Source organism: Homo sapiens, chromosome 3 (genome assembly GCF_000001405.40).
Source record: "Homo sapiens chromosome 3, GRCh38.p14 Primary Assembly".
Classification (NCBI taxonomy): domain Eukaryota; kingdom Metazoa; phylum Chordata; class Mammalia; order Primates; family Hominidae; genus Homo; species Homo sapiens.
Window position 1 is genome coordinate 77273236 of NC_000003.12, and position 26709 is coordinate 77299944.

Sequence of the window (26709 nt, forward strand, 5' to 3'; positions counted from 1 at the left end):
TAGAAAAAGAACAAAATGCATATATGCAGCAACATAGATGTGCTGCAGGCCATTACCCTAAGCAAATTGAGGCAGGAACAGAAAACTAAATGCCACATGTTCTCACTTAGAAGGTATCTTTGAATGGCGTTGTCAGACAAACTCAAGCATGGATCCTTGCTGAAGTACCAGAATCTTGACTGGTTATGGTTCAAAAACAACTGAATAGTATTCACGGATCTGAGTCTTAGATACAAAAAATGAAAGTAATCTAGCCGTTTTATTTAGCTGGTACTGAAGTGTAGATGATGTATTGCATAAAATTATAGCAAGTCATACAATTTCCCTTGGCTAGTTGGTCATTCCCTTTCTCTTTATGGTTTCTATTCTTGTACAGATTTCTAACTAGTGATACAGAACAATAACTTGGATGACTTAAAAACATTATGCTAAATAAAAGAAGACAGACTCAAATGACTATATGCTTAATGGTTTGCTTCATATAAACTTTTTGAAGAGGTAAAACTGGATTGTTGGAAAGTTGATCAGTGCTTTGCAGGGGCCAGGGTTGGGGAGGGAATTAACTGCAAAGACCAGAGGGAACTTTTTGGTGTGGTGACGATGGTCTGCATCACCATCGTGTCATGAATGTCAAGACTCATCCAATCTTTTCTAAACTTTATTAATTTTTTGCCTGAAAATTATATCCAACAAAAGATGTTAGAATTCCACTTTGGTGTGAATCTAACCTAGACAAGTTGATACTTTTTCCTGTTTTTTTTTCCCATAAGTTAAAGCTATACTGAGTTTATTAATGAAGTTATTAATAAAATTATTTATAACCCTAATATATTCCTGGTTCTAGCTGACTTTACCTGTAGTTACTAGGTATTTGAATAGAGTCAATTGAAGTATAAATTTTAAACCAAAACTAAACACTTTTTTCCCAAGAAACATTCGTCACACAGGTGCATATAAAATACATGCTTACATCTGAATTTGCATATAAAGTGTTGTAGGAAAATTAGAAAGCATATGGTCTTTTCTTCTTTTTCATTGTCTAAGAAGCACTAAAGCCAAATAACTTGGCATGATTCTTCCAGTTTTACTCTTTTTAAATAGCTTTATTGTCAGGCAGATGGGGAGTGCTAGCCACTTATTAAAATTACACTTGTACATATCGTAAGAATGTTTTATATTTATTCATGAATATAAAATTTTTAGAATTGGCATTTAAAACCAAAAAAAACCTGTCATAGAGTTGAGTAACAACTTTATTTGTCACTTTGAAACCACTTTGAAATATCTTGCAGCATGGACGGTTGCCTAATTAATATTCCAAGATTCAGGTTCTCTTTAATGATGTTTTTAAAAGCTCTCCATCTTAGGAAGCCAAAGATAATCATAGAGTAGAGATTGAATTACATGGAAAGAATGAACTTTAAGATGTGGCATCTCTTCCAAGTTGTATTAGGAAAATATATATGGGAAAACATTATCGTATACTTTGTAATAGGTACTTTCCCGCCCTCTGTGAAGAGTTTAAAAATCAGTACTTACACTGGATAGTTTTCAAGCATCATTTTGTGAGTGAATAATCTGAGCCAAAGAGATGTAACATAGTCCATGAACACCAGACAGTTAAAAGATTCTTCTACTTTAGAGGTTTTTTAAAGACTGATTTAAAATTAAAAAACAGATATCTATTTATTCATCACAATTTTGTGCTACAAATTTGAAGAAGTAGAGGATAACATTCTTTTGGGTACTTAATGAATATTTTTCAAATAAATATCTGAATTACTAATACATCTCTTAGATTCATATTGCAGCTAGAGAAATAACTGCATCATTTGCTGAAGAACATTTGAAAATGTAGAATTTCTTATTTGACACATGAAAATATATTACATAATTTAATATATCAATGAAGACAGGTAAATACATAGATAACTACATATATAGATACAAACCAGAATATGCAGGTAATTGACTTTGAAAATTTGTCCTGAAGACAAAACTTTTAGACAGTTTTGAGGAGATACTATGTGATAAGGCAAATTTTATAAAACTGAAGTCAAAACTAAACCTTCTGTCATTCAAAACTATCATATGTCAAAACGTTTTTAGGTAGAACTTTAATAGAACTTTAGCATCTTATAATGTCATATCCCTGATAAACTTGAGTGTATGCAGAGAATCTGCCAAAATTTAATGAGCACATGTCTGAACAACCATTACTTTGTGGCTAAAGATATTTCTTTCCAATTTCTCTCCCCAGTATGGTTACTCTGCCTCTTTAATTTATCCTTTTAATATGTGCAGCAAGTGAAGAAATAGAAAGCTTGGGGGAAAATGAACTGCTATAAAAATGCAAGTATCTCCAGGGTTTTTCTACATTCTCTTTTCTTTATCCCTCTTTATTTCTGTTTTATCAAATAAAATCTTTTTCTCCTCATAGTTGCAGTATCCAAATTGTGTTTTTTAACACGTGTATCAAATGGATAAAGTTTAATAGTATAAATTGCCAAACAAAATTGGCATAAGAGTTTCTCCAGGACCACAGTTTGGTGTACAATATGATACCAAATATATCCTAAAAATTATTTTCTCTTAATTTAGTTATAGATGAAATGCCAGGTGTTGTATTGCAAGGGTGATTAAAATCAACTTAGCTCCTTGGAATCTTTACCTTTGTCTACATAAAGCTGTTAAAGGAAACTGGAACCCGCTTTTTCTCAGTGATGACATCCAATTGTTTTCCCTTATATATAGGGCTATGAAAGTATGCTATGAGTTTAGCAAACCTATCTTTGCAATGTGTATGTGTTATGTAGCTTGGATTTGTTTCAAAATCTGTAGAGAGGCTGCAAAATTTGTAACCACCTTATAGAAAAGTCAGGTGTACTCCCTTCCACTGCCCTTCACATTTTCATTGTATCCATGCTTTCCTTTGCATGTTCCTCTAAGATAAGAGTTAATAAGTTGTAAAAACAAACAAACAAAAAAAAAAAACAAAAGAAAAAATGTCTCTGATACCTTAGCATAGTGTTTCTGAACCACTTTCCATTACTGCCCCTTAAAGGAGTCTTTTCAACAATTTTTCCTAATTGCTATTCCCTTGAAATGTTACTACTACAGATAAACTGTACATCTGTTTATATACTGTATTTGTGTTTTAATACATAAAATACTTGATTTTTGGCTCACTCCCCTGAATCTATTTTTGCCCCCTTAAGGTTAGCATTGCCTCCCTTGAGAATGCAGGCTGTGGCAGTATTAGATTGTCCACTCTAGTCAGGTAGGACACATTGTCATGTGCTGTTCTGTATGTTCCCTCTTTTGACTTCCCCTTAGAAATGCTTTAATAATTACATTATTCAAAGGCATAGCCAGCCATGGTGGCACTCACCTTTGGTTCCAGCTACTCGGGAGGCTTAGGCAGGGGGATCACTTGGGCTCAGGAGTTCAAGACCAGCCTGGGCAACTGGAGTCTGTTCTCACGTGGCTAATAAAAACATACCCAAGATTGGGTAATGTATAAAGGAAAGAGGTTTAATGGACCCACAGTTCCACATGGCTGGGGAGACCTCACAATCATGGCAGAAGTCGAATGAGGAGCAAAGTCACATATTACATGGTGGCAGGCAAGAGATCTTGTGCAGGGGAACTTGTATTTATAAAACCATCAGATCTCATAAGACGCATTTACTACCACCAGAATAGTATGGGGAAAACTGCCCTCGTGATTGAATTATCTTCACCTGGCCCTGCCCTTGACTCATGGGGATTATTGCAATTCAAGGTGAGATATGGGTGCGGACACAGTCAAACCATATCAGCAACATAGTGAAAACCTTGTATTTTAAAAAGAAAAAGAGAGAGAGAGAGAAATAAAAATGCACCCTTCCTTCCTTCCTTTCTTCCTTCTTTCCTTCTTTCCTTCTTTCTTTCTTTCTTTCTTTCTTTCTTTCTTTCTTTCTTTCTTTCTTTCTTTCTTCTTTCTTTCTTTCTTGTCTTTCTTTCTTTCTTTCTTTCTTGTCTTTCTGTCTTTCTTTTAGAGTTCATTGCATTTTTTGTCTTCAACTATTATTTTAAGTTCAGGTGTACATGTGCAGGATGTGCAGGTTTGTTCCATAGGTAAATGTGTGCCATGGTGGTTTGCTGCACAGATCCACCCATCACCTAGGTATTAAGCCCAGCAGTCATTAGCTATTCTTCCAGATGATGTCACTCCCACCACCCTCCCAACTACAGGCCCCAGTGTGTGTTGTTTCCCCACTATGTGTCCATGTGTTCTCATCGTTCATCTCTCACTTATAAGTGAGAACGTGTAGTGTTTGGTTTTCTGTTCCTGTGTTAGTTTGCTGAGGATAACAACTTCCAGCTCCATTTATGTCCCTGCAAAGGACATGATCTTGTTCCTTTTTATGGCTGCATAGTATTCCATGGTGTATATGTACCACATTTTCTTTATCCGGTCTGTCACTGTGGACATTTGGGTTGATTCCATGTCTCTGCTGTTGTGAATAGTGCTGCAATGAGCATACATGTACATATATCTTTTTGCTAGAATGATTTATATTCCTTTGGGTATATACCCAGTAATGGGATTGCCGGGTCAAACAGGATTGTCTTTCTGGTTCTAGATCCCTGAGGAATTGCCACACCATCTTCCACAATGCTGGAAATAATTTACGTTACCACCAACAGTGTAAAAACATTTCTTTTTCTCTGCAAACTCACCAGCATCTGTTGTTTCTTAACTTTTTAATAATCACCATTCTGACTGGCATGAGATAGTATCTCATTGTGGTTTTGATTTGCAAGGAAATGCAGTTTTCTTTGTCTATTTCAGAAAGAGCACAGGGGATGGGAAAAGATGAGAATAAGCTAGCCCCCTCCTCTCTAAAGAGAGAATTTATATTTTGGTTCTTATAGATGACATTCTTAGAATTAATATATATTCCATGAATGAGAAGCCATGTAAATCTACTTAAACAGCCATGCTAAAGGATTAAGGTTGTTTGCCATTATCATCTCCAGTAGCTCCCATAGACTTCCACTATGTTAATGACAAATAATATGTGTATCCTCCATTCAATCTCTACTCTGGCCTTCCTGATAACACTGTAACTCATATCTTTCCAAACCCTATAAATAGATGCATATTTAGGGGTTATGTCCTGGACTGAGGTACAGTGTTGCTAGAAAATAAATATAACACAAAACACATAAACCAATTTTATGAATTAGGCTAATTTATGCAAGATGATGATATGTGAATGATGAGAAATTATGAATTATTATTACATATATTAAATGCTTATTAGAATCCAGGTACAGTGTTAAAAACTTTCCATAGATTTTCTAATTTTTATCCTCACAATAAACCTATAGATACTTTTGTTATTTTTACTTTATAGATAAGAAAAATAATATCCAAAGTGCATTTTAAATACTGGTTTAAATAGCTAATTTTATTGATGGTTATAATGCGAGAAGAGATTATAAAAATCAGAGTTGACTAATTTTTGCTTCACTTTTTTATGGTGGCTTTCTGTCTTGCCAGTTGTGGAGATAGTAGCAATAAGTACAAAAATAAAATAGCCACCAGGAGGAAAAAAGACAAACAAAAATATGACTTAAATTCAAACTCAGACTCTAAAATTGGCTGTTTTGAAACTAACAATTGTTCTAATCGTAATCATGGTAACAGCTGGCATTAGTTAACCGCTTACTAAATCATCATCACCTTCACAGCAGCATTTTCATTTTACTGAAGAGGAGACAAAGGGTTAGAGATGCTAATCATATTCCTTAGATTCTAGACCTCGATATTTTATTAGTGATGGTCTGGATTATTTGTTGTTGTGAGATGTGTTAAGGGTAATTAAATAGCCTTCTAAGAAAACTGAAAACGTCTCTTTTTTTCACGTAAACAATTATCACAATATAAAATGAGTAGAATGTGCCATTTTTTTAAACGCCTAAATTTTTAGAATCGTATATATTTTCTGAATATAATTGCCCATGACCATAAATTTTTTTAACTCTTTTGAGTTTAATACAGTGTACCTTTTCTTTTGAAAATTTTCAGTAACTTAATGACGGCATTGCTTATACGGGAAACATTATGCAAATGACTCACAATGAAGTCTGTGAGTTTAGTTAAGCTTGAGAAAAAGTTTGTAATTAACAAATTAGCATTTGAAAAAGACATTTGAATATGCATAGTAGAAAATTCCACTTAACTTGTGGGGTGTGTTCATAATGATTATTTCAGAATTCATGCATATGCATCTTTTAACATGCAAATATTTTAAACCTTAGTGGACTAGTCCAGATCTGGCTCATTTCTGTTGTGGTTGTTGTTTTAGTTAAATGTTGAAAATTGTAAATAAGGCATCATGAATACACATACTAACATGTGGAGTCCTCTTTACTTCTCTTTGATATAGTCTTTTTAATTATTAAAGACACAATATTAAATACTTTCTATTTATTATTACTTCACTGTGGATAAAAATAACATTAAGAAAAAAAAATCTTGGTATCTGACTTTTCCTACCAAAGTGTATAATGTGTACTAGAATGCTATAGTCAGGACTTCATTTACCTTTATGTTCAATTGTGCTGTTAGAAATTAGAGTTTGATGTCTCACATACACACACAGACATTACATTATTCATAAAAAGTGGCAAGAATACCTTGTGATTACTTTTAAACCTCTCTTATATAATATATTGGCTTCATTGTAAAGTATATTTTCTTAACAATTTTTTAGGTAGGTCATAACCCTCCTCTGTTTAAAAAACTCTACCAGTTCTTGATTAATTATCAGATATGATCTCAGACCTTTAGTTCAGCATTGAGGACTGTTCTCCAATACAAAGCACCTCTCTCACCTACATCTCTTCACATGTTCCATTCTAATCTGGCCTCGATTCTAATTCTTATGCTTTCTATAAATGCATGATCGCTAACCCATCTAAATGTTTAGACAAACCGCTTTTCTGCCGTTATACCTTACTCACCTTACTTAGGCTACATGATATTTTCCCTTGATGAATTCCTACAGTATTTATAGTTCAACTATTATGTTCCCTGCAAAATGGTTATGTGGAAAGTTATAGCTAATTTAAATCTAGGGTTGATAAATATGTGAATTCTTTGCCTTTCTAGATAGAGAAATTATGTCTTGTTTTGGTTTGGCCAACCTCCTAAAATCCAATAGGCAACTGAGGACAGAAGATTGGGCTTGACTTGGCTTACACAGAGGATGGGCATCTGTTTCTAATGAACTCGTAATTTATGCCCCATCTTGTAGCCAAAAGGAATTAATAGACCTACAGACATAAAAAATGAATAAACTATTTTTTCCACACTAGTTTGTCCATAACACGACACTAGAAAATAAGGTCATTACATGGTCTCATGAAACCCCTGCCAATCCTATGACTTGATGTATTTTAGGTTCTTTCACTTTGCTTTATGTATTTGTTGTGACTCTTTGACAATATCTGATGTTTAACTTTGCCTTCAGAAATTTGCCATGGTTCAACTTCCTTTCAGTGCTCCTGCCTTCCTTTTCAGTTTATTGATAGTTTCCCTTGCCCTAGACACTCATGTGGACACTGATTACACAAAACCAATCAAAATCGACATTGGAAAAGCAAAATAATTAAGAATTAAAATCAGCCAGTTCCTGACACTAGCTCCAAGGACTAGACAGGTGACACCTGAACAGAGTGGAAAATAGTTGTTGGGAAGTATTCCAGGCACAAGGAACAGAATATGCAAGGGCATTCAATAATCAATGTCTCTGAGGACATCAAGTGGAATATAAAACTAGCTGTATTATCAGATATCAGAAAGGCCTTATGAGCCACGCTTACACTTTGCAACATACTAGAAAAAAAGTCATTCAAAGGTTGTATAATCAATCCTAGCTGAAGATGCTTGCAATTGTTCATTTTCCTATAAACATGTATGGACAGTGGATAAATCCCAAATTTTTACTCTGAAGCTTGTGTTGTCCAGATTAGATTTGCTGTTTACCTTAGTTTTATTTCCTGACCAATTTTCAATCCTTCTTTCGTTACCTCCCAGACACTTGCTTTTTAAAAAACTATATTTTTACAAAAACAAAAGGACAAAAGGTTTTTCTAGACAGTGTTAGTGCATTCAATACAGAAAGTTTCCAGTTAGACAAGAATTTTACTGTCTCTATATGAAGACTTCACTTTGCACTAAATATAAGAAAAAATATAAGGAAGAAGAAATGTAAGAAAAAAAAAAACCACCAGAAATAGTCTTAGAAATGCGTATGTTTGTACATTCATCCCTCAGTATCTGTGAGGAATTTGTTCCAGGACCTCCCATGGATGCTCAAGTCTCTGATATAAAATAACATATTATTTGCCTATCACCTATGTGCATCCTTCTATATACTTTAAATCAGATGTCCCCAACATTTTAGGCACCAGGGACTGGTTGTGTGGAAGATGATATTTCCATGGATGGTGCAGGGGAAGGAAGGATGGTTTCAGGATGAAACTGTTTCACCTCGGTCATCAGGTGTTCAAGCAGTAGATTCTCATAAGGAGCAGGCAACCTAGATTCCTCACATACGCAGTTCACAATAGGGTAAGCACTTCTATGAGAATCTAATGCCGCTGCTGATCTGACAGGAGGCGGAGCTCAGGCGGTAATGCTCGCTCCCTCCTGCTGTGCAGCCCGTTTCCTACCAGGCCACAGACCAGTATGAGTCCCTGGCCCCGGGGCTGTGGACCCCTGCTTGAAATCATCTCTGGATTACTTTTAATATTTACTACAATGTAAATGCTATGTAAATAGTTAATACTGTATTGCTTAGGGAATCATGACAAGGAAAAAATGTCTCTACATGTTCAGTGCAGACATAATCAACCATTTTTTTCTAAATACTTTTGATGCAGTTTGCAGATATGGAGGGTTAATTTAATTTTGCAAGCTCTTATAATCAACTATTGGGATTCATCATTATTTTCAGGGTTTTTCTCCTCCTTTTATGACTGAATTTATTTTTTTAAATAACTGAATTACTGCATAAAATATAATTATTTTCATAACTTATAAGGATGTATAGACTGTAATTAGGCTGTTGTATGGTAGCTGACAGGTACTGCTGATGAAATTTTACTAAGTGACCAGAATAATAAAATTTATTACACAGGTTACTTCCTTTAGAGGTTCTACTTTTTGGTCTTCAATATCTAACATGCTTTCTTTATTATTAATATAAATATAAAATAGATCTTAATGGTAGGGACAGATTTCTCTCTGTAAATAGAAGTACAAATTTTGTATGAAAAGTTGAAGAGAAATAAATATAATATTCCCAAATCTATCCACAACCATTCATACTTGATAAAATGTAAGTTTACTGTAAAATGAATGAATTATTGATGTACTTAGCAAAACATTATATCTGCACAAAGTCATAAATTAAACAAACTCTAATACATTTTATGATAAGCATAATTTGACCTGAGTCCTTGTTAGCCTCAAAGCATAATATAATGATCAGAAAAATTGGGGGTCTAATCAATTAATTTGAAAATCTGCAATGAGATTATTATTTATCTAGAGTGAACGCTTTACTAGCATACAAATAAAGTTTTTATAAATGAAATAGAATAAATATCTAATTATTGGAACTTTTCCATTAAATAACTGATGGCATAAAGAGGCTTCTGCTTTTAAAAAAAAAAAAAATATTTGCTGATATAAACCTGAGAATTTAAATGTCAATTATGGCAAAAATATTTTCTGTACAACTTTGTTGTTTTTTAAAACATTATTAATGTAACAGCTACTACATCTTATTATTTTCATCCATTCTGCAAATCTGGTGAATCTATTTAGTCTACATCTAGAACAACTAGAAAAATATGTATAATATATGTATCTAAAAGGGAAATGAAGATGCATGAAAATATCTAATTGTGTAAATACTGTTAAGCTAGAGAATTAAAGATGATAACCCCTTTTCACCATTCAGCCAAGCGTGAAGGAGCAAAAGAGATTCAAAACTTCATTAATTGCTCTCACACAACGTTACAGGCCACCTGCACTTCAAAGAATTTACATTGGAGCAGATGGATTGCTGAATGCGATATCAAAGAATTTCAGAATGTTTGTTTTAAAAATAACCTGGATTCTAAGGCAAGCACCAGCAAAGCATACAATTTACAAAGATGACAAAGCTTTTCTTATTAAAACTTCTAAAACGTATAAGTGAAGGCACATTTTTATCTCTAAAATAAGAGTATACATACCAACTACTCTTTAAAATGATCAAAGTTACATATTTAAATATATAAATGAAATATATTCATGCATTATTTGAGGCTTTTGAACATACCTAACTGGTTTCCTTTAGTAACTCCTAGATCAGTGAAATCTAGCTTTTTCCCAGTATAAGTTTTCACATCTCTCTGATTATTCAATCTTTTGAATAAAGATGGTCCATATGGAAAATGAGATTTTTAAAAAAGTTTAAGAGTAACTTTTTTTGCAGAAACTCCTTTCACTTGTCATTTGATTCTGACTTGAGCTCGGTACTTTGATTGATAGGTCCTACTCGCAATGCACTGACAGAATCCACATTGGAATAGCTAGTTAAGATGAATCAGAGCTAATCTAAATGCATCTTGGATCAGATTATGCTTTACTTTTGGAACATATTGTAATTTTTGTATTTTACAGAAGTTTCTATAGCTTTACCCACAAATTAAGTTTTACTTGGAATTTGCATCACAATATTTTCATTCTTTAAATATTGATGTATCAGGGGTCAGAAAACAACAACAGCTAGAGGGCTGAATCTGACCTTGTACCTGTTTTTGGGAAATAAGATTTTATTTTAGCACAGTCATACCCATTCAATTACTTATTGTCTGTGGCTGCTTTTGTGCTACAACAATAGAGCTGAGTAGTCACAATAGACAGTATGGCTTACCAAGCCCTAAGTGAGATATTTACTATTTGCCTCTTCACAGGAGAAATTTACTAACCCTGATGTGCTAGCACATGTTATAACCTTGGGTAAGTTTTCTTAAGCTCTCTGAGCATTAGGTTCCTCATCTGTAATATAAAGACACCGATGGTGTCTACCCAGATGTCCCTGCGTGTGGTAATAATAATGGTACCTAGCCGTGATGATTAAATGGGATAATATAAGCTGTTAGGAAAAGGCCTCGTTCACAATAGGTCTGATACAAATGTCACCCAACATCAACATCACTGTCATTTTCTCAGGAATAATGCTAGGTCATGGAGACTGAGAAGAGGGTTTCAAACTACATTACTGTAGTCTGTTCATCTTCACTAGTCAAACAATAAAGTGGGTAGCATGGTTTTGTATTATGATCATAGAATTTGAAGGTGGAAGCCCTGGGTATGATGACAATTTGCCTTCTTCTTTGCTGTTTAATAAGACCTGCAGTGAGTAATGTAAACACTCTAATCCTCTCTTTCTTACCTGTAAAATTATAATAATATTATTAATAATAATATCATCCCCCAATAGGCTGTATATTGTAAAGGGCCAATTAAATTAGAAATATGAAGTAGGGTAACTTGTAAGGTTGCAATACAAATCAAAGGTTTCACTGCCTCATTAACCGTACCTCACTTCCATGCTTTGAACTTTGGGGTAATGAATATGTGTAATTATTTAGCTAAGAGGGCTCAAGATTAACGCTTTTGTGTCGAGTGTTGCCACACACATCAACATGGATGATCTTACAGGCTAATGAGGGAAAGAAGCCAGAAGCCGAAGGCCACAGACAGTATTATCCCCTTTATATAAAGTTCTACACCTAGAAAATTAATCTTTGGTGATAGAAAAGAGAATCAGTTACCTTTCAGGGTGTGTGGAAGGGGCATAGGGTATTAATGGTAGAGATTGTAGGAGGCAGGTGATGTTACCGGTCTTCTTGTGGGTATAGGTTACAGGGCTATGTTCACTTTCTACGACTTCATTGGCCAGAACACTTATGATTTGTACATTTCACTGTAGGTGTAAAATGCTTACAAGAAGAACGAAATATTAAAACAAAAAAAGAGAAAATGAAAGAAAACAACAAAAGTGTTAAGTCCATCCACTGATCCTGCTTTCAGAGCCATAAAAAAACCGTCTGCTATACAATCTATTTACCTCGTCCTCTCACTTACACCAATCTTTCTTTCCACAGCACCATAAAATCTACCTACATACATGTAAGAAAATGGGACTCTCCTTTAGCCAGCCTTGTCTCCTATACCACCTTGAATACGTGATGTTTGACAGAAATGACGTTTTATTTTTCTCTTTATATAAATCCTATGATCTCCACTTTTACCCAAAGCCTTTTTTAAACTAAAGCATTATGACCTTAATGAGACTCATAGATCACGTTCACTCTCTATCTTACATGTATCATTGCGCTATTCTCCAAAGTTCTGTTTGAATTTTATTTTATATCACTCCTTTTCCTAAACTATGCACATGCTCATGAAGACAAGGCAAAACAAAAAGAAAAAATAAACAAATGAACAAACAAAAAATCCACAGGTCTTAATAGAGAGATAGGTTTGAGTAGCAAGAAAATATAGTTTAGAAAATAAATGTTATTTATTTTTGAAAAGATAATGCCCTATATAATACCAAATGCCCTATATAAATACCAATGCCCTATATAAAACCAAAAAGTATAAAAGCTATGAAGAGAAAATCAAGTCTCTATTTTACCCTAACCTTTAGGAAACCCATTCCCTTCTCAGAGGTAACACATGTTGCTGTTATTTTGTGCAAACTTTCATTATATCTGTGAATAATCTGCGCATATGCATATAGCAGTGTGTTTTACAAAAATGGAAGCTTGTTGTAGACATTACCTTATACTCTATTTCCATAAGTGAATCATGTATCTTGAACATCTTCCATGTTAATAAATATTGAGTTTAAAATACCCCCAAAAGTAATGGAAGCCTAGAAACACAAAATTATGGAGCTTTTTTTTTTTTTTTTTTTGAGCTTGAGTCTCGCTCTATCACCAGGCTGGAGTATATTGGCGTGATCTCTGCTCACTGCAACCTCCACCTCCCAAGTTCGAACGATTCTTTTGCCTCAGCCTTCCGAGTAGCTGGGACTACAGGCACATGCCACCATGCCCAGCTAATTTTTGTATTTTTAGTAGGATGGGGTTTCACCATGTTGGCCAGGCTGGTCTCGAATTCCTGACCTCAAGTGATCCGACCGCCTTGGCCTCCCAAACTGCTGGGATTACAGGCGTGAGTCACTGCACCAGGCCTATGGAGCAGTTTTTTAAAAGAACTTTGCAAATATTATAAAATTGCCTTCTTTACATCATCCATGTAGAATATTCCTTATAACCACTTTTGTCAGTCTGAGAGCGCTTTTTGTTTTATCTATGTCTGTTAAACCATATGCTGAAACTGTTTTCTGCTTTCTTCATGAGGCTTTCCCTTATCCTTCACAGAACTATATTGAATAAATATTTAGTCTATTACTCTTGAAGTCTACACTGAAAAATACTTGAAACATTACTACTTTTCCTTATTTGTTTGTGGCATTCTGGCCACGAGTTTGTATAAATTATGTTTCAGAACTTTGGGCTTTGCCAGATGTTGAGTAATACGCTGCTAAGATGTAAGTACAAATGGTTTCACTCCTGACTCCTTTGTACAAGTGAAAGACAACTTGGAATTCTAAACAGATTAGAAATGGAGGTTGCCATTCGTTTGAGCTCTCTTAGAAAAGAAGGCTCTCTTTGACAAATCCCTCTGCTTATTAGACAAAGTGCAAAAAGCATTACATCTGGAGTTCATAAGCCATTGTTTTATGGAATTGATCCATCATACAATCCCTTACGCTCTTGAAATAAACCCATGAGAATTTAAGATGCTATATGCACACTTACTAACACATTCACTCATACATACACACCCCTCTATGCACACATGCTACCATTAGAGACTTGTGCCCTTGCAAAAAAATCTTATAGCGTAGAATTGCAACATGCTTTTTAAATTGATAGTTATTTTTTTTTAACATCGTTTATCTTTCAAAAGACTTCTGAATTCAGCTACAGGAATTATTCTTATTCCTCGAAACTTATAACCCCCTATTCTTTGTACTCAAAATGTTTTGTAATACAACATTTTTTTTCCATTAAAAAGAGCAAAAGTAAAGCTACAATTATTTTTGAAACACACCATCCCCAGATACTTCTGAATTTATTTTCCTTCCTCAAATCTTGAAGCACGTATTATTTCTTTCACATCTTTAGACCGTTAAAACTCAATTGTTCATTCTGTGAGAAGAAAACTTAAGGAAACATTCAGCAAGTAGCTTTATATGTGGGAGATGGATTTTTAGAGGATTTTAGGTGTTTGAGAAGAGTTTCTCATAGATTCTGTTGCTTTCAGAATTCCTCAGGATGCCATTCTAAAGGATGACTGCAATTCAGATCAGCGAAGTGCTTTGATGTCTTATTTTTTCTTTTGCAGATTGTACTCCACATGTTCAGAAAGCCTTTCCCTAGAGTATAATTTAATGTAATTGACAGTCATTGTTCCTCGAAAGTTTGAATTAAATTAACCTGAGCCTGAATGAAACTGGTAAAATAACCACGTACAGATTTCATTTTATTTTCCTTTAGGATCAGTGACAATATTATGTATAAAATTGGCAGTTGGCTATTAGATCTTCATTGAATCACCCTAGATTTGATTAAAAGTAGATATTTCAGTGTACAGTAATTTAGGTTCATGAAAAACTCTTAGGTTTCTCATTTAGTTATTGGGTTTATTGAGGAACAGGGTATTTTATGTGTGTAATGATGAATTTTGTTCTTTCTCTTTTTCCACTGAGATCAAATACAGACTGCAAAATTGACCGAGCATGAAATTGTTTTTAGAAATTGTGGGAGCTAGTTTCGATGGCAAGAATCAGAGGAACCGTTGTTAGTGAAAATGTGTTTGGAAAGGATGATGGTAGTGGGTAGGAGAGAATAGAGGTAGAGAGGTGTTAACATAAGGCAAAAACATTAAACTGACAAACACTTCTCTGTAGAGTAGTTGATGTGTTAAGCCAGCACACTTAAAAGCATACAAGTTTTTGGATAGAAAAGTCTTCATTGTTCTGACTGTTTTTCTGGACATGTAGCTGGAAAGGAGACTCAAATCTTCATATGGATTTTGTGTCTTATGGTCACTGACACTGCAAAGCAATTAGCCTTCATGATGGCTGTGCTTATGCAATACTAATTAACATGCCTGTTGTGCTGTTTTCCCTGTTTGACCATGTGACAGCCCACAGGTCTGACACTCTCTGTGAACCAACAGCTGAGGAAATTTCCAACATGGCAGATTTTTTTTACAAAACACACCCAAACAAAAATGGAATCACACTTTTCCTGAACAACTGCATTAACAGAATGTGTTACAACGGATCTACAATTAGAGGATTGCATTCATATGTACTGGGGAAAAAAAAGGAGACGAGACCCTACTCAAGCATACGGATACAAATTGATTATACCTGGGTCCAGAATTTCAAAGTGTGATAACACTGTATTATAGTATCATGGAGAATATAATTTACCAGTACAATCACATCTAGTAAAATTATCATTGAAAGTTAGAAGTAAAGTTGTCAATATATTTACGGCACCATGTGAGACCTCTATATTGAAGGGCTAATTTAGTAAATTTGTATGTGTTATGACTTTAAGAGTTTGGGCATTGGTGAGTTTTGTTTCTGTGTGTTTGTTCCTGTTGTGAGTGGGACTGGAATACTATGATTAACAAAATCATATACAGGCACTTGATATGTGGATTGTACAGTCTAGTGGGTGAAGTTGGTTGAAGTTTATTTATAGGCTCTACAAATAAATATAAAATTAGCACTGATGTGAGGGGAGGTGCTTGATACTCTGAGATTGTTAATAGCAGTTTTTAGCCAGATTGTAAATTGAGGTAAGTTCCTTTGGAAGTGACAATTGAGAAAGACATAAAGTAAAATTGACGGTTAAATGGGTAAGCTGAGGCTAGAGCACCAAAGACATAAAGTAAAATTGACGGTTAAACGGGTAAGCTGAGACTAGATCACCCCAGACATAAAGTAAAATTGACGTTTAAACGGGGACACTGAGGCTAGATCACCCCAGAAATTAAGTAAAATTGATGGTTAAATGGGAAGTTGAGGCTAGAGCACTAAAGATATAAAGTAAAATTGACGGTTCAATGGGTAAGCTGAGGCTAGATCACCCCAGACATAAAGTAAAATTGACAGTTAAACGGGTAAGCTGAGGCTAGATCACCAAAGACATAAAGTAAAATTGACGGTTAAACGGGTAAGCTGAGGCTAGATCACCAAAGACATAAAGTAAAATTAATGGTTAAATGGGAAGTTGAGGCTAGAACACTAAAGACATAAAGTAAAATTGACGGTTAAACGGGTAAGCTGAGGCTAGATCACTGAAGACATAAAGTAAAATTGATGGTTAAATGGGTAAGCTGAGGCTAGATCACCAAAGACATAAAGTAAAATTGACAGTTAAACAGGTAAGCTGAGGCTAGGTCACCAAAGACATAAAGTAAAATTAATGGTAAAACGGGAAGTTGAGCCTAGATCCCTAAAGACATAAAGTAAAATTGATGGTTAAACGGGTAAGCTGAGGCTAGATCACCCCAGACATTAAGTAAAATTGATGGTTAAACGGGTAAACTGAGGCTAGATCCCTAAAGACATAAAGTAAAATTGACGATTAAATGGGTAAGCTGAGGCTAGATCACCAAAGACATAAAGTAAAATTGACGGTTAAACGGATAAGCTGAGGCTAGATCACCAAAGACATAAAGTAAAATTGATGGTTAAACGGGTAAGCTGAGGCTAGATCACCCAAGACACAAAGTAAAATTGATGGTTAAACGGGTAATCTGAGGCTAGATCACCCCAGACATAAAGTAAAATTGATGGTTAAACGGGAAGTTGAGGCTAGAACAGTAAAGACATAAAGTAAAATTGATGGTTAAATGGGTAAGCTGAGGCTAGATCACCCCAGACATAAAGTAAAATTGATGGTTAAACGGGTAAGCTGAGGCTAGATCACTAAAGACATAAAGTAAAATTGACGGTTAAACGGGTAAGCTGAGGCTAGATCACCCCAGACATAAAGTAGAATTGATGTTTAAATGGGTAAGCTGAGGCTAGAGCACTAAAGACATAAAGTAAAATTGACGGTTAAACGGGTAATCTGAGGCTAGATCACCCCAGACATGAAGTAAAATTGATGGTTAAACGAGTAAGCTGAGGCTAGATCACCCCAGACGTAAAGTAAAATTGACGGGTAAACGGGTAAGCTGAGGCTAGATCACCCAAGACACAAAGTAAAATTGATGGTTAAACGGGTAATCTGAGGCTAGATCACCCCAGACATAAAGTAAAATTGATGGTTAAACGGGAAGTTGAGGCTAGAACAGTAAAGACATAAAGTAAAATTGATGGTTAAATGGGTAAGCTGAGGCTAGATCACCCCAGACATAAAGTAAAATTGATGGTTAAACGGGTAAGCTGAGGCTAGATCACTAAAGACATAAAGTAAAATTGACGGTTAAACGGGTAAGCTGAGGCTAGATCACCCCAGACATAAAGTAGAATTGATGTTTAAATGGGTAAGCTGAGGCTAGAGCACTAAAGACATAAAGTAAAATTGACGGTTAAACGGGTAAGCTGAGGCTAGATCACCCCAGACATGAAGTAAAATTGATGGTTAAACGAGTAAGCTGAGGCTAGATCACCCCAGACGTAAAGTAAAATTGACGGGTAAACGGGTAAGCTGAGGCTAGATCACCCCAGACATAAAGTAAAACTGATGGTTAAACGGGAAGTTGAGGCTAGAACAGTAAAGACATAAAGTAAAATTGATGGTTAAATGGGTAAGCTGAGGCTAGAGCACTAAAGACATAAAGTAAAATTGACGGTTAAACGGGTAAGCTGAGGCTAGATCACCCCAGACATAAAGCAAAATTGACGGTTAACCGGGAAGGCTGAGGCTAGATCACCCCAGACGTAAAGTAAAATTGACGGTTAAATGGGTAAGCTGAGGCTACATCACCCCAGACATAAAGTAAAATTGATAGTTAAACGGGTAAGCTGAGGCTAGATCACCCCAGACATGAAGTAAAATTGATGGTTAAACGGGTAGGCTGAGGCTAGATCACCCCAGACATAAAGTAAAATTGATGGTTAAAAGGGTAGGCTGAGGCTAGATCACCCCAGACATAAAGTAAAATTGATGGTTAAACGGGAAGGTGAGGCTAGAGCAGTAAAGACATAAAGTAAAATTGACGGTTAAATGGGTAAGCTGAGGCTAGATCACCCCAGACATAAAGTAAAATTGATGGTTAAATGGGTAAGCTGAGGCTAGATCACTAAAGACATAAAGTAAAATTGACAGTTAAACGGGTAAGCTGAGGCTAGATCACCCAGACATAAAGTAAAATTGAAGATTAAACGGGAAGTTGAGGCTAGAACAGTAAAGGCATAAAGTAAAATTGATGGTTAAACGGGTAAGCTGAGGCTAGATCACCCCAGACATAAAGTAAAATTGATGGATAAACGGGTAAGCTGAGGCTAGATCACCCCAGACGTGAAGTAAAATTGACGGCTAAAAGTGTAAGCTGAGACTAGATCACCCCAGACATAAAGTAAAATTGATGGTTAAACGGGTAAGCTGAGGCTAGATCACCCCAGAAATAAAGTAAAATTGACGGCTTAACGGGTAAGCTGAGACTAGTTCACCCCAGACATAAAGTAAAATTGACGGTTAAACGGGTAAGCTGAGGCTAGATCACCCCAGACATAAAGTAAAATTGATGGTTAAACGGGTAAGCTGAGGCTAGATCACGCCAGACATAAAGTAAAATTGATGGTTAAACGGGTAAGCTGAGGCTAGATCACCCCAGATGTAAAGCAAAATTGACGGCCAAACGGGTAAGCTGAGGCTAGATCACCCAGACATAAAGTAAAATTGATGGTTAAATAGGAAGTTGAGGCTGGAACAGTAAAGACATAAAGTAAAATTGACGGTTAAATGGGTAAGCTGAGGCTAGATCACCAAAGACATAAAGTAAAATTGACGGTTAAACGGATAAGCTGAGGCTAGATCACCAAAGACATAAAGAAAAATTGATGCTTAAACGGGTAAACTGAGGCTAGAGCACTAAAGACATAAAGTAAAATTGATGGTTAAATGGGTAAGCTGAGGCTAGATCACCCAAGACATAAAGTAAAATTGATGGTTAAATGGGTAAGCTGAGGCCAGATCACCCCAGACATAAAGTAAAATTGATGGTTAAACAGGAAGTTGAGGCTAGAACAGTAAAGACATAAAGTAAAATTGACGGTTAAACGGGTAAGCTGAGGCTAGATCACCCCAGACATAAAGTAAAATTGATGGTTAAACGGGAAGTTGAGGCTAGAGCACTAAAGACATAAAGTAAATTTGACGGTTAAACAGGTAAGCTGAGGCTAGATCACCCCAGATATAAAGTAAAACTGACGGTTAAACGGGTAAGCTGAGGCTAGATCACTAAAGACATAAAGTAAAATTGACGATTAAACGGTAAGCTGAGGCTAGATCACCAAAGACATAAAGTAAAATTGACGATTAAACGGTAAGCTGAGGCTAGATCACCAAAGACATTAAGTAAAATTGACGGTTAAACGGGTAAGCTGAGGCTAGATCACCAAAGACATAAAGTAAAATTGATGGTTAAATGGGTAAGCTGAGGCTAGAGCACTAAAGACATAAAGTAAAATTGGCGGTTAAACGGGTAAGCTGAGGCTAGATCACCCCAGACATAAAGTAAAATTGATGGTTAAATGGGAAGTTGAGGCTAGAACAGTAAAGACATAAAGTAAAATTGACGGTTAAACGGGTAAGCTGAGGCTAGATCACCCCAGACATAAAGTAAAATTGACGGTTATACAGGTAAGCTGAGGCTAGATCACCAAAGACATAAAGTAAAATTGATGGTTAAACGGGAAGTTGAGGCTAGAACAGTAAAGACATAAAGTAAAATTGACGATTAAACGGGTAAGCTGAGGCTAGATCACCCCAGACATAAAGTAAAATTGATGGTTAAACGGGTAAGCTGAGGCTAGATCACTAAAGACATAAAGTAAAATTGACGGTTAAATGGGTAAGCTGAGGCTAGATCACCCCAGACATAAAGTAGAATTGATGTTTAAATGGGTAAGCTGAGGCTAGAGCACTAAAGACATAAAGTAAAATTGACGGGTAAACGGGTAAGCTGAGGCTAGATCACCCCAGACACAAAGTAAAATTGACGGTTAAACGGGTAAGCTGAGGCTAGATCACCCAGACATAAAGTAAAATTGATGGTTAAATGGGAAGTTGAGGCTAGAACAGTAAAGACATAAAGTAAAATTGATGGTTAAACGGGTAAGCTGAGGCTAGATCACCCCAGACATAAAGTAAAATTGATGGTTAAACGGGAAGTTGAGGCTAGAACAGTAAAGACATAAAGTAGAATTGATGGTTAAACGGGTAGGCTGAGGCTAGATCACCCCAGATGTAAAGTAAAATTGACGGCTAAACGAGTAAGCTGCAGCTAGATCACCCCAGACATAAAGTAAAATTGATGGTTAAACGGGTAAGCTGAGGCTAGATCACCCCAGACATAAAGTAAAATTGACGGTTAAACGGGTACACTGAGGCTAGATCACCCAGACATAAAGTAAAATTGAAGATTAAATGGGAAGTTGAGGCTAGAACAGTAAAGACATAAAGTAAAATTGATGGTTAAACGGGTAAGCTGAGGCTAGATCACCCCAGACATAAAGTAAAATTGATGGTTAAACGGGTAAGCTGAGGCTAGATCACCCCAGATGTGAAGTAAAATTGACGGCTAAAAGGGTAAGCTGAGACTAGATCACCCCGGACATAAAGTAAAATTGATGGTTAAACGGGAAGTTGAGGCTAGAGCACTAAAGACATAAAGTAAAATTGACGGTTAAACGGGTAAGCTGAGGCTAGATCACCAAAGACATAAAGTAAAATTGATGGTTAAACGGGTAAGCTGAGGCTAGGTCACCAAAGACATAAAGTAAAATTAATGGTAAAACGGGAAGTTGAGCCTAGATCCCTAAAGACATAAAGTAAAATTGACGGGTAAACGGGTAAGCTGAGGCTAGATCACCCCAGACATTAAGTAAAATTGATGGTTAAACGGGTAAACTGAGGCTAGATCCCTAAAGACATAAAGTAAAATTGACGGTTAAACAGGTAAGCTGAGGCTAGATCATCAAAGACATAAAGTAAAATTGACGGTTAAACGGGTAAGCTGAGGCTAGATCACCCCAGACATAAAGTAAAATTGATGGTTAAACGGGTAAGCTGAGGCTAGATCACCAAAGACATGAAGTAAAATTGATGGTTAAACGGGTAAGCTGAGGCTAGATCACCCCAGACACAAAGTAAAATTGACGGTTAAACGGGTAAGCTGAGGCTAGATCACCCCAGACATAAAGTAAAATTAATGGTTAAACGGGAAGTTGAGGCTAGAACAGTAAAGACATAAAGTAAAATTGACAGTTAAACAGGTAAGCTGAGGCTAGATCACCCCAGACATAAAGTAAAATTGATGGTTAAACGAGTAAGCTGAGGCTAGATCACCAAAGACATAAAGTAAAATTGACGGTTAAACGGATAAGCTGAGGCTAGATCACCAAAGACTTAAAGAAAAATTGATGCTTAAACGGGTAAACTGAGGCTAGAGCACTAAAGACATAAAGTAAATTTGACGGTTAAAAAGGTAAGCTGAGGCTAGGTCACCCCAGATATAAAGTAAAATTGACGGTTAAACGGGTAAGCTGAGGCTAGATCACTAAAGACATAAAGTAAAATTGACGATTAAACGGTAAGCTGAGGCTAGATCACCAAAGACATAAAGTAAAATTGACGATTAAACGGTAAGCTGAGGCTAGATCACCAAAGACATTAAGTAAAATTGACGGCTAAACGGGTAAGCTGAGGCTAGATCACCAAAGACATAAAGTAAAATTGATGGTTAAATGGGTAAGCTGAGGCTAGAGCACTAAAGACATAAAGTAAAATTGATGGTTAAATGGGAAGTTGAGGCTAGAACAGTAAAGACATAAAGTAAAATTGACGGTTAAATGGGTAAGCTGAGGCTAGATCACCCCAGACATAAAGTAAATTGACGGTTAAATGGGTAAGCTGAGGCTAGATCACCAAAGTCATAAAGTAAAATTGACTGTTAAACGGGTAAGCTGAGGCTAGATCACCCCACACATAAAGTAAAATTGACGGTTAAACGGGTAAGCTGAGGCTAGATCACCCCAGACATAAAGTAAAATTGATGGTTAAACGGGAAGTTGAGGCTAGATCACTAAAGACATAAAGTGAAATTGACGGTTAAACGGGTAAGCTGAGGCTAGATCACCCCAGACATAAAGTAAAATTGATGTTTAAATGGGTAAGCTGAGGCTAGAGCACTAAAGACATAAAGTAAAATTGACGGGTAAACGGGTAAGCTGAGGCTAGATCACCCCAGACACAAAGTAAAATTGACGGTTAAACGGGTAAGCTGAGGCTAGATCACCCAGGCATAAAGTAAAATTGATGGTTAAACGGGTAAGCTGAGGCTAGATCACTCCAGGCATAAAGTAAAATTGATGGTTAAACGGGAAGTTGAGGCTAGAACAGTAAAGACATAAAGTAGAATTGATGGTTAAACGGGTAAGCTGAGGCTAGATCACCCCAGATATGAAGTAAAATTGATGGTTAAACGGGTAGGCTGAGTCTAGATCACCCCAGATGTAAAGTAAAATTGACGGCTAAACGAGTAAGCTGAGGCTAGATCACCCCAGACATAAAGTAAAATTGATGGTTAAACGGGAAGTTGAGGCTAGAACAGTAAAGACATAAAGTAGAATTGATGGTTAAACGGGTAAGCTGAGGCTAGATCACCCCAGACATAAAGTAAAATTGATGGTTAAACGGGCAAGCTGAGGCTAGATCACCCCAGACATAAAGTAAAATTGACGGTTAAACGGGTACACTGAGGCTAGATCACCAAAGACATAAAGTAAAATTGACGGCTAAACCGTCAAACTGAGGCTAGGGCACGAAGTCACACACTGCTGCACATTGGACTTGCCTCAGATGTTGGTTTTTTGTTTGTCTTGTTTTCTTTTGTTTTGCTTCTGTTCTCTTTTTTTCCTAAATTACTGATACCCGAGTCCCATGTCTAGAGTCTAATTTAATTGTTCAGTGTATTCCCTGGACATTGAGACCTTTAGAGTATCCCCAGGTGATTGTGATGCATAGCAATGTTTGAGAACAATTGCTCAGAATATTCTAGGCCGATGGAAAAGGCCTTGTGGTAAGATGAATCATGGCAAAATCTTAAGAAGGCTGAAAGGTTACTTGCTGCTCCTGCAGGACAAAAGAGGAGGGACCTGGGAGAGAGGCGTGTGCAACATGAGACTGAATAGCTGGCCAAGAAGAAGCTTCTAGGCCATTATACCGGTTTGGTGCTTTGCTGATTAGCAGCAAGAAGCCATTCAAGTCTTTCAGTGGACATGTCTTTCCACCACCTCGTGTGAAAAATATGGAAGTGTTGACTGCTTTTCTCGCATACTTTGACTTATTCGTCTGTATGTACCTTTAAATGGACAGGATTTTTTGAAATTAAGTTGTTCATGGAGAAACTAAAAATTTTTTTTTTTTAGTCTGGAGTTATCACAAAGTTGGAAAATGTATTTTAAAAATCTACGATGGTCCATAGTCATTAGATCAGTCTTCAATTCTGGGTCTTCCAGCCACCACAGGTGGATCTGAGATGAGTTGTACTGCAGTGGGCTTTCAACTTGGGCTACATGTGACAGTGACCTAGGGACATTTTTACAACTACTGATGTTCAGGCTCAAGTTAGTCAATTTACGAGTGATAGTTAAGCATAATTTTTGAGGTTCCTTAGGTGGTTCTAACATTTAGCCAGAGTTAATAACAACTCACCTGCTGGATAAATCTTTTTGGATTTAATTAAATTTGGGCATATTGATCTTAGACATGAACTAGAGTCTCTTGATTTTTGAAAACGAGGGGAAGTTAAAATGAACACCTTGAGGTATTTGCTTAAGTGCACTCCCTTCACAGAATAGAGATGAGTCCTTTACAGGCAGATCTGGTTAAAGGAAACTCCCTCCGGAATGCTGGGTGATGGACGAAATGAGGGAAACCTTGCCTCCTCTGGAAGCTTGCCATTGGCTACATCAGATTTTACATGTTGCGTTTTCAAAAGTCAGTCTCTCGGATCTAACTTTAAAGATATGTACTTCTAACAGTTGGTTCTGATTATTTCCCCACAGTTGTGTCAAGTCCACACAGTTGTATCAATGCTTCTGCTTTTCTAGACGCTAGTTAACACTCAGAGGTTTTACATTTAACGGAAGAAGAAATTGACAAACAAAGGAAGTAAAGGAAGTTTATGTGGAATAGAAAGGGAAGGAAACAGACCTTGAACATGTGTAGAAAGGAGGAAACAGACTTTGTCCGGGATAGAAGGCCCATTGACATGAGGAGGCATGCTAACAGAGGTCAGAAAGAGTAGAAAGAGTCGTTGGACATGGGCCAAGAAGGTTCAACACCAGGTAGCAGCTGAATGAGTCCATCAGTGGATGGGCTACCTAAGCGGGTAGGGCATTGTGCTTGTGGGTTATTCTGCAAATCCTCCTCAGCCAACAATGAGTGTCATTGGATCCATCAAAGGATTCAGTGAAAATGAAGCTTTTTTGGGTGAAGAATTCCAAGGAAATTCTGAAGGTTGTGACTTAGATGAAGAAAAATTCTCAGCATGAATTGAATAATATTCACACGAAGTCTGAAAGTTAAAACTTAGAATAAGTACTGAAACCACACCAACTAACACCAGGAAACGCAGAGGGCCATTTACTAATAACTCTTAGGAGTTCAAGCATGGAAAATGATTTTCTAAAGGTCAAACTTAGAAGATTATGCCTTTCACCTCCATGAAGTTTCATAGCTGGAAAGGAACTCCAATCCCAACCCCTCATTTAACAAATGAGAAAATTGAAGTGAAATGATTTGCCAAACTAAGGAATTCTTGAGAGCAATGCCTAGAGTCCAGACTCTCTCACTCATGAGTCTTTTGTATTCTTAGTCTGTCATGCTGCCTTCAGACCAGGGCAAAATATGAGACTGAACTGAAGTGGGAGAAGGTTTACTTCAGTCATGGGAAACCACCATTAAGGGTTATTTGTTGCTGGGAAAGTACACTGTTGTAATAGCTGCACTGTAACAATCACAGCTGACTAACAGCAAGTTATCCTCAGCAGAGCCGTGAACAGAAAACTTTGGTTGGGCTTCAGGAGATGAGTTTAAATTATTCTCTGTTACAGACAAATTTGTTATTCATTCCTTCATTCATCTGTGCCTCCTGTGTGCATGGGAGTGTGCTTGGCACTGTAGAATAGATAAAGCAATAGACCCTGCCCTGAAAGTTCTTATAGTCAGTATGGAAGATAAGATATACGTGTACAGAATTATAATAAAACACTGACTGACAAAAGTGTCGTGAGATCTGGAACAAATCAGTAGCCAGGACATTTCAGAAGATAGAGGGGCTATTTTTATCTTCTAGGGCAAACAGAATTGCCAGAGTCAAGATTATTTCATGAAAAAGGTAGAATTTAAATTAGACATTGAATGATAAGTAAGATGTGCATGATGAGGAACAGGAAGAAAGCATTTTAGAAAGAGGGAAAAAGAGAAGCATGAATGAAAAAAATTAGTGCTTTTTAACAGGATGTGAAACATTTTTTAAAATATAAGTTGAGATGGCAAGTTGGAATTAGATTCTAAAATATTAGTCTACATATGTTTAAACTGACATTTAAATTGAGGACAGAAGAATGGAATAGATAGGTGTGGTATCAGGATGTGTTTTGGTAAAAGCAACTTAAGAGAGAGCGAAGACTAGTCTGGAGATAAGAAGGACTGAAAGCCTAGAGATATATTAGTTTGTTCTCACGCTGCTATGAAGAAATACCTGAGACTGGGTAACTTATAAAGGAAAGAGGTTTAATTGACTCACAGTTGAACGGGGCTGGAGAGGCTTCAGGAAACTTACAATCGTGATGGAAGGAGAAGCAAACACGTCCTTCTTCACGTGGCAGCAGGAAGGAAAAGTGCTGAGCAAAGGGGAAAAAGCCCCTTATAAAACCATCAGATTCCCTGAGAACTCACTCACTATCATGAGAACAGCATAGGAGTAACTGCCCCCATGATTCCATTACCTCCCACTGGTTCTCTTCCATGATACGTGGGGATTATGGGAACTATAATTCAACATGAGATTTGGGTGGGGGACACATCAGGAGACTTCTTAGATTATGATTGCAAAATCTCAGGTCAGACTAATTGAAAATAGGAATCAGAGGAACAACGATAATAATACAGATTACAACAGAGAGGGACGATAGAGTGGTGAGTGGCAGGCAATGTCTGCCAACTGGATAAAAGTAAGAGAATGGAAATGGAGACCCCAAGTTGGTTTCAAAGATTCTAAGCCTGGGTAACAGGAGGGAAGACAGAGTCATGAAA

The 26709-nt window shown here is 36.5% G+C and overlaps 1 protein-coding gene across 41 annotated transcripts in view, besides 1 other annotated feature; it reads left to right on the forward strand.

The window, feature by feature from the left end:
- ROBO2 (roundabout guidance receptor 2) overlaps positions 1-26709 on the forward strand; it is a 1743290-nt gene that overhangs the window by 1366561 nt on the left and 350020 nt on the right. The window lies entirely within an intron of this gene.
- Positions 26010-26210: a silencer, noted in NCBI's record as "peak4724 fragment used in MPRA reporter construct". NCBI's record gives its function as "represses an SCP1 promoter by STARR-seq MPRAs in K562 erythroleukemia cells {active_cell/tissue: K562}" and the evidence as "EXISTENCE:reporter gene assay evidence [ECO:0000049][PMID:32103011]".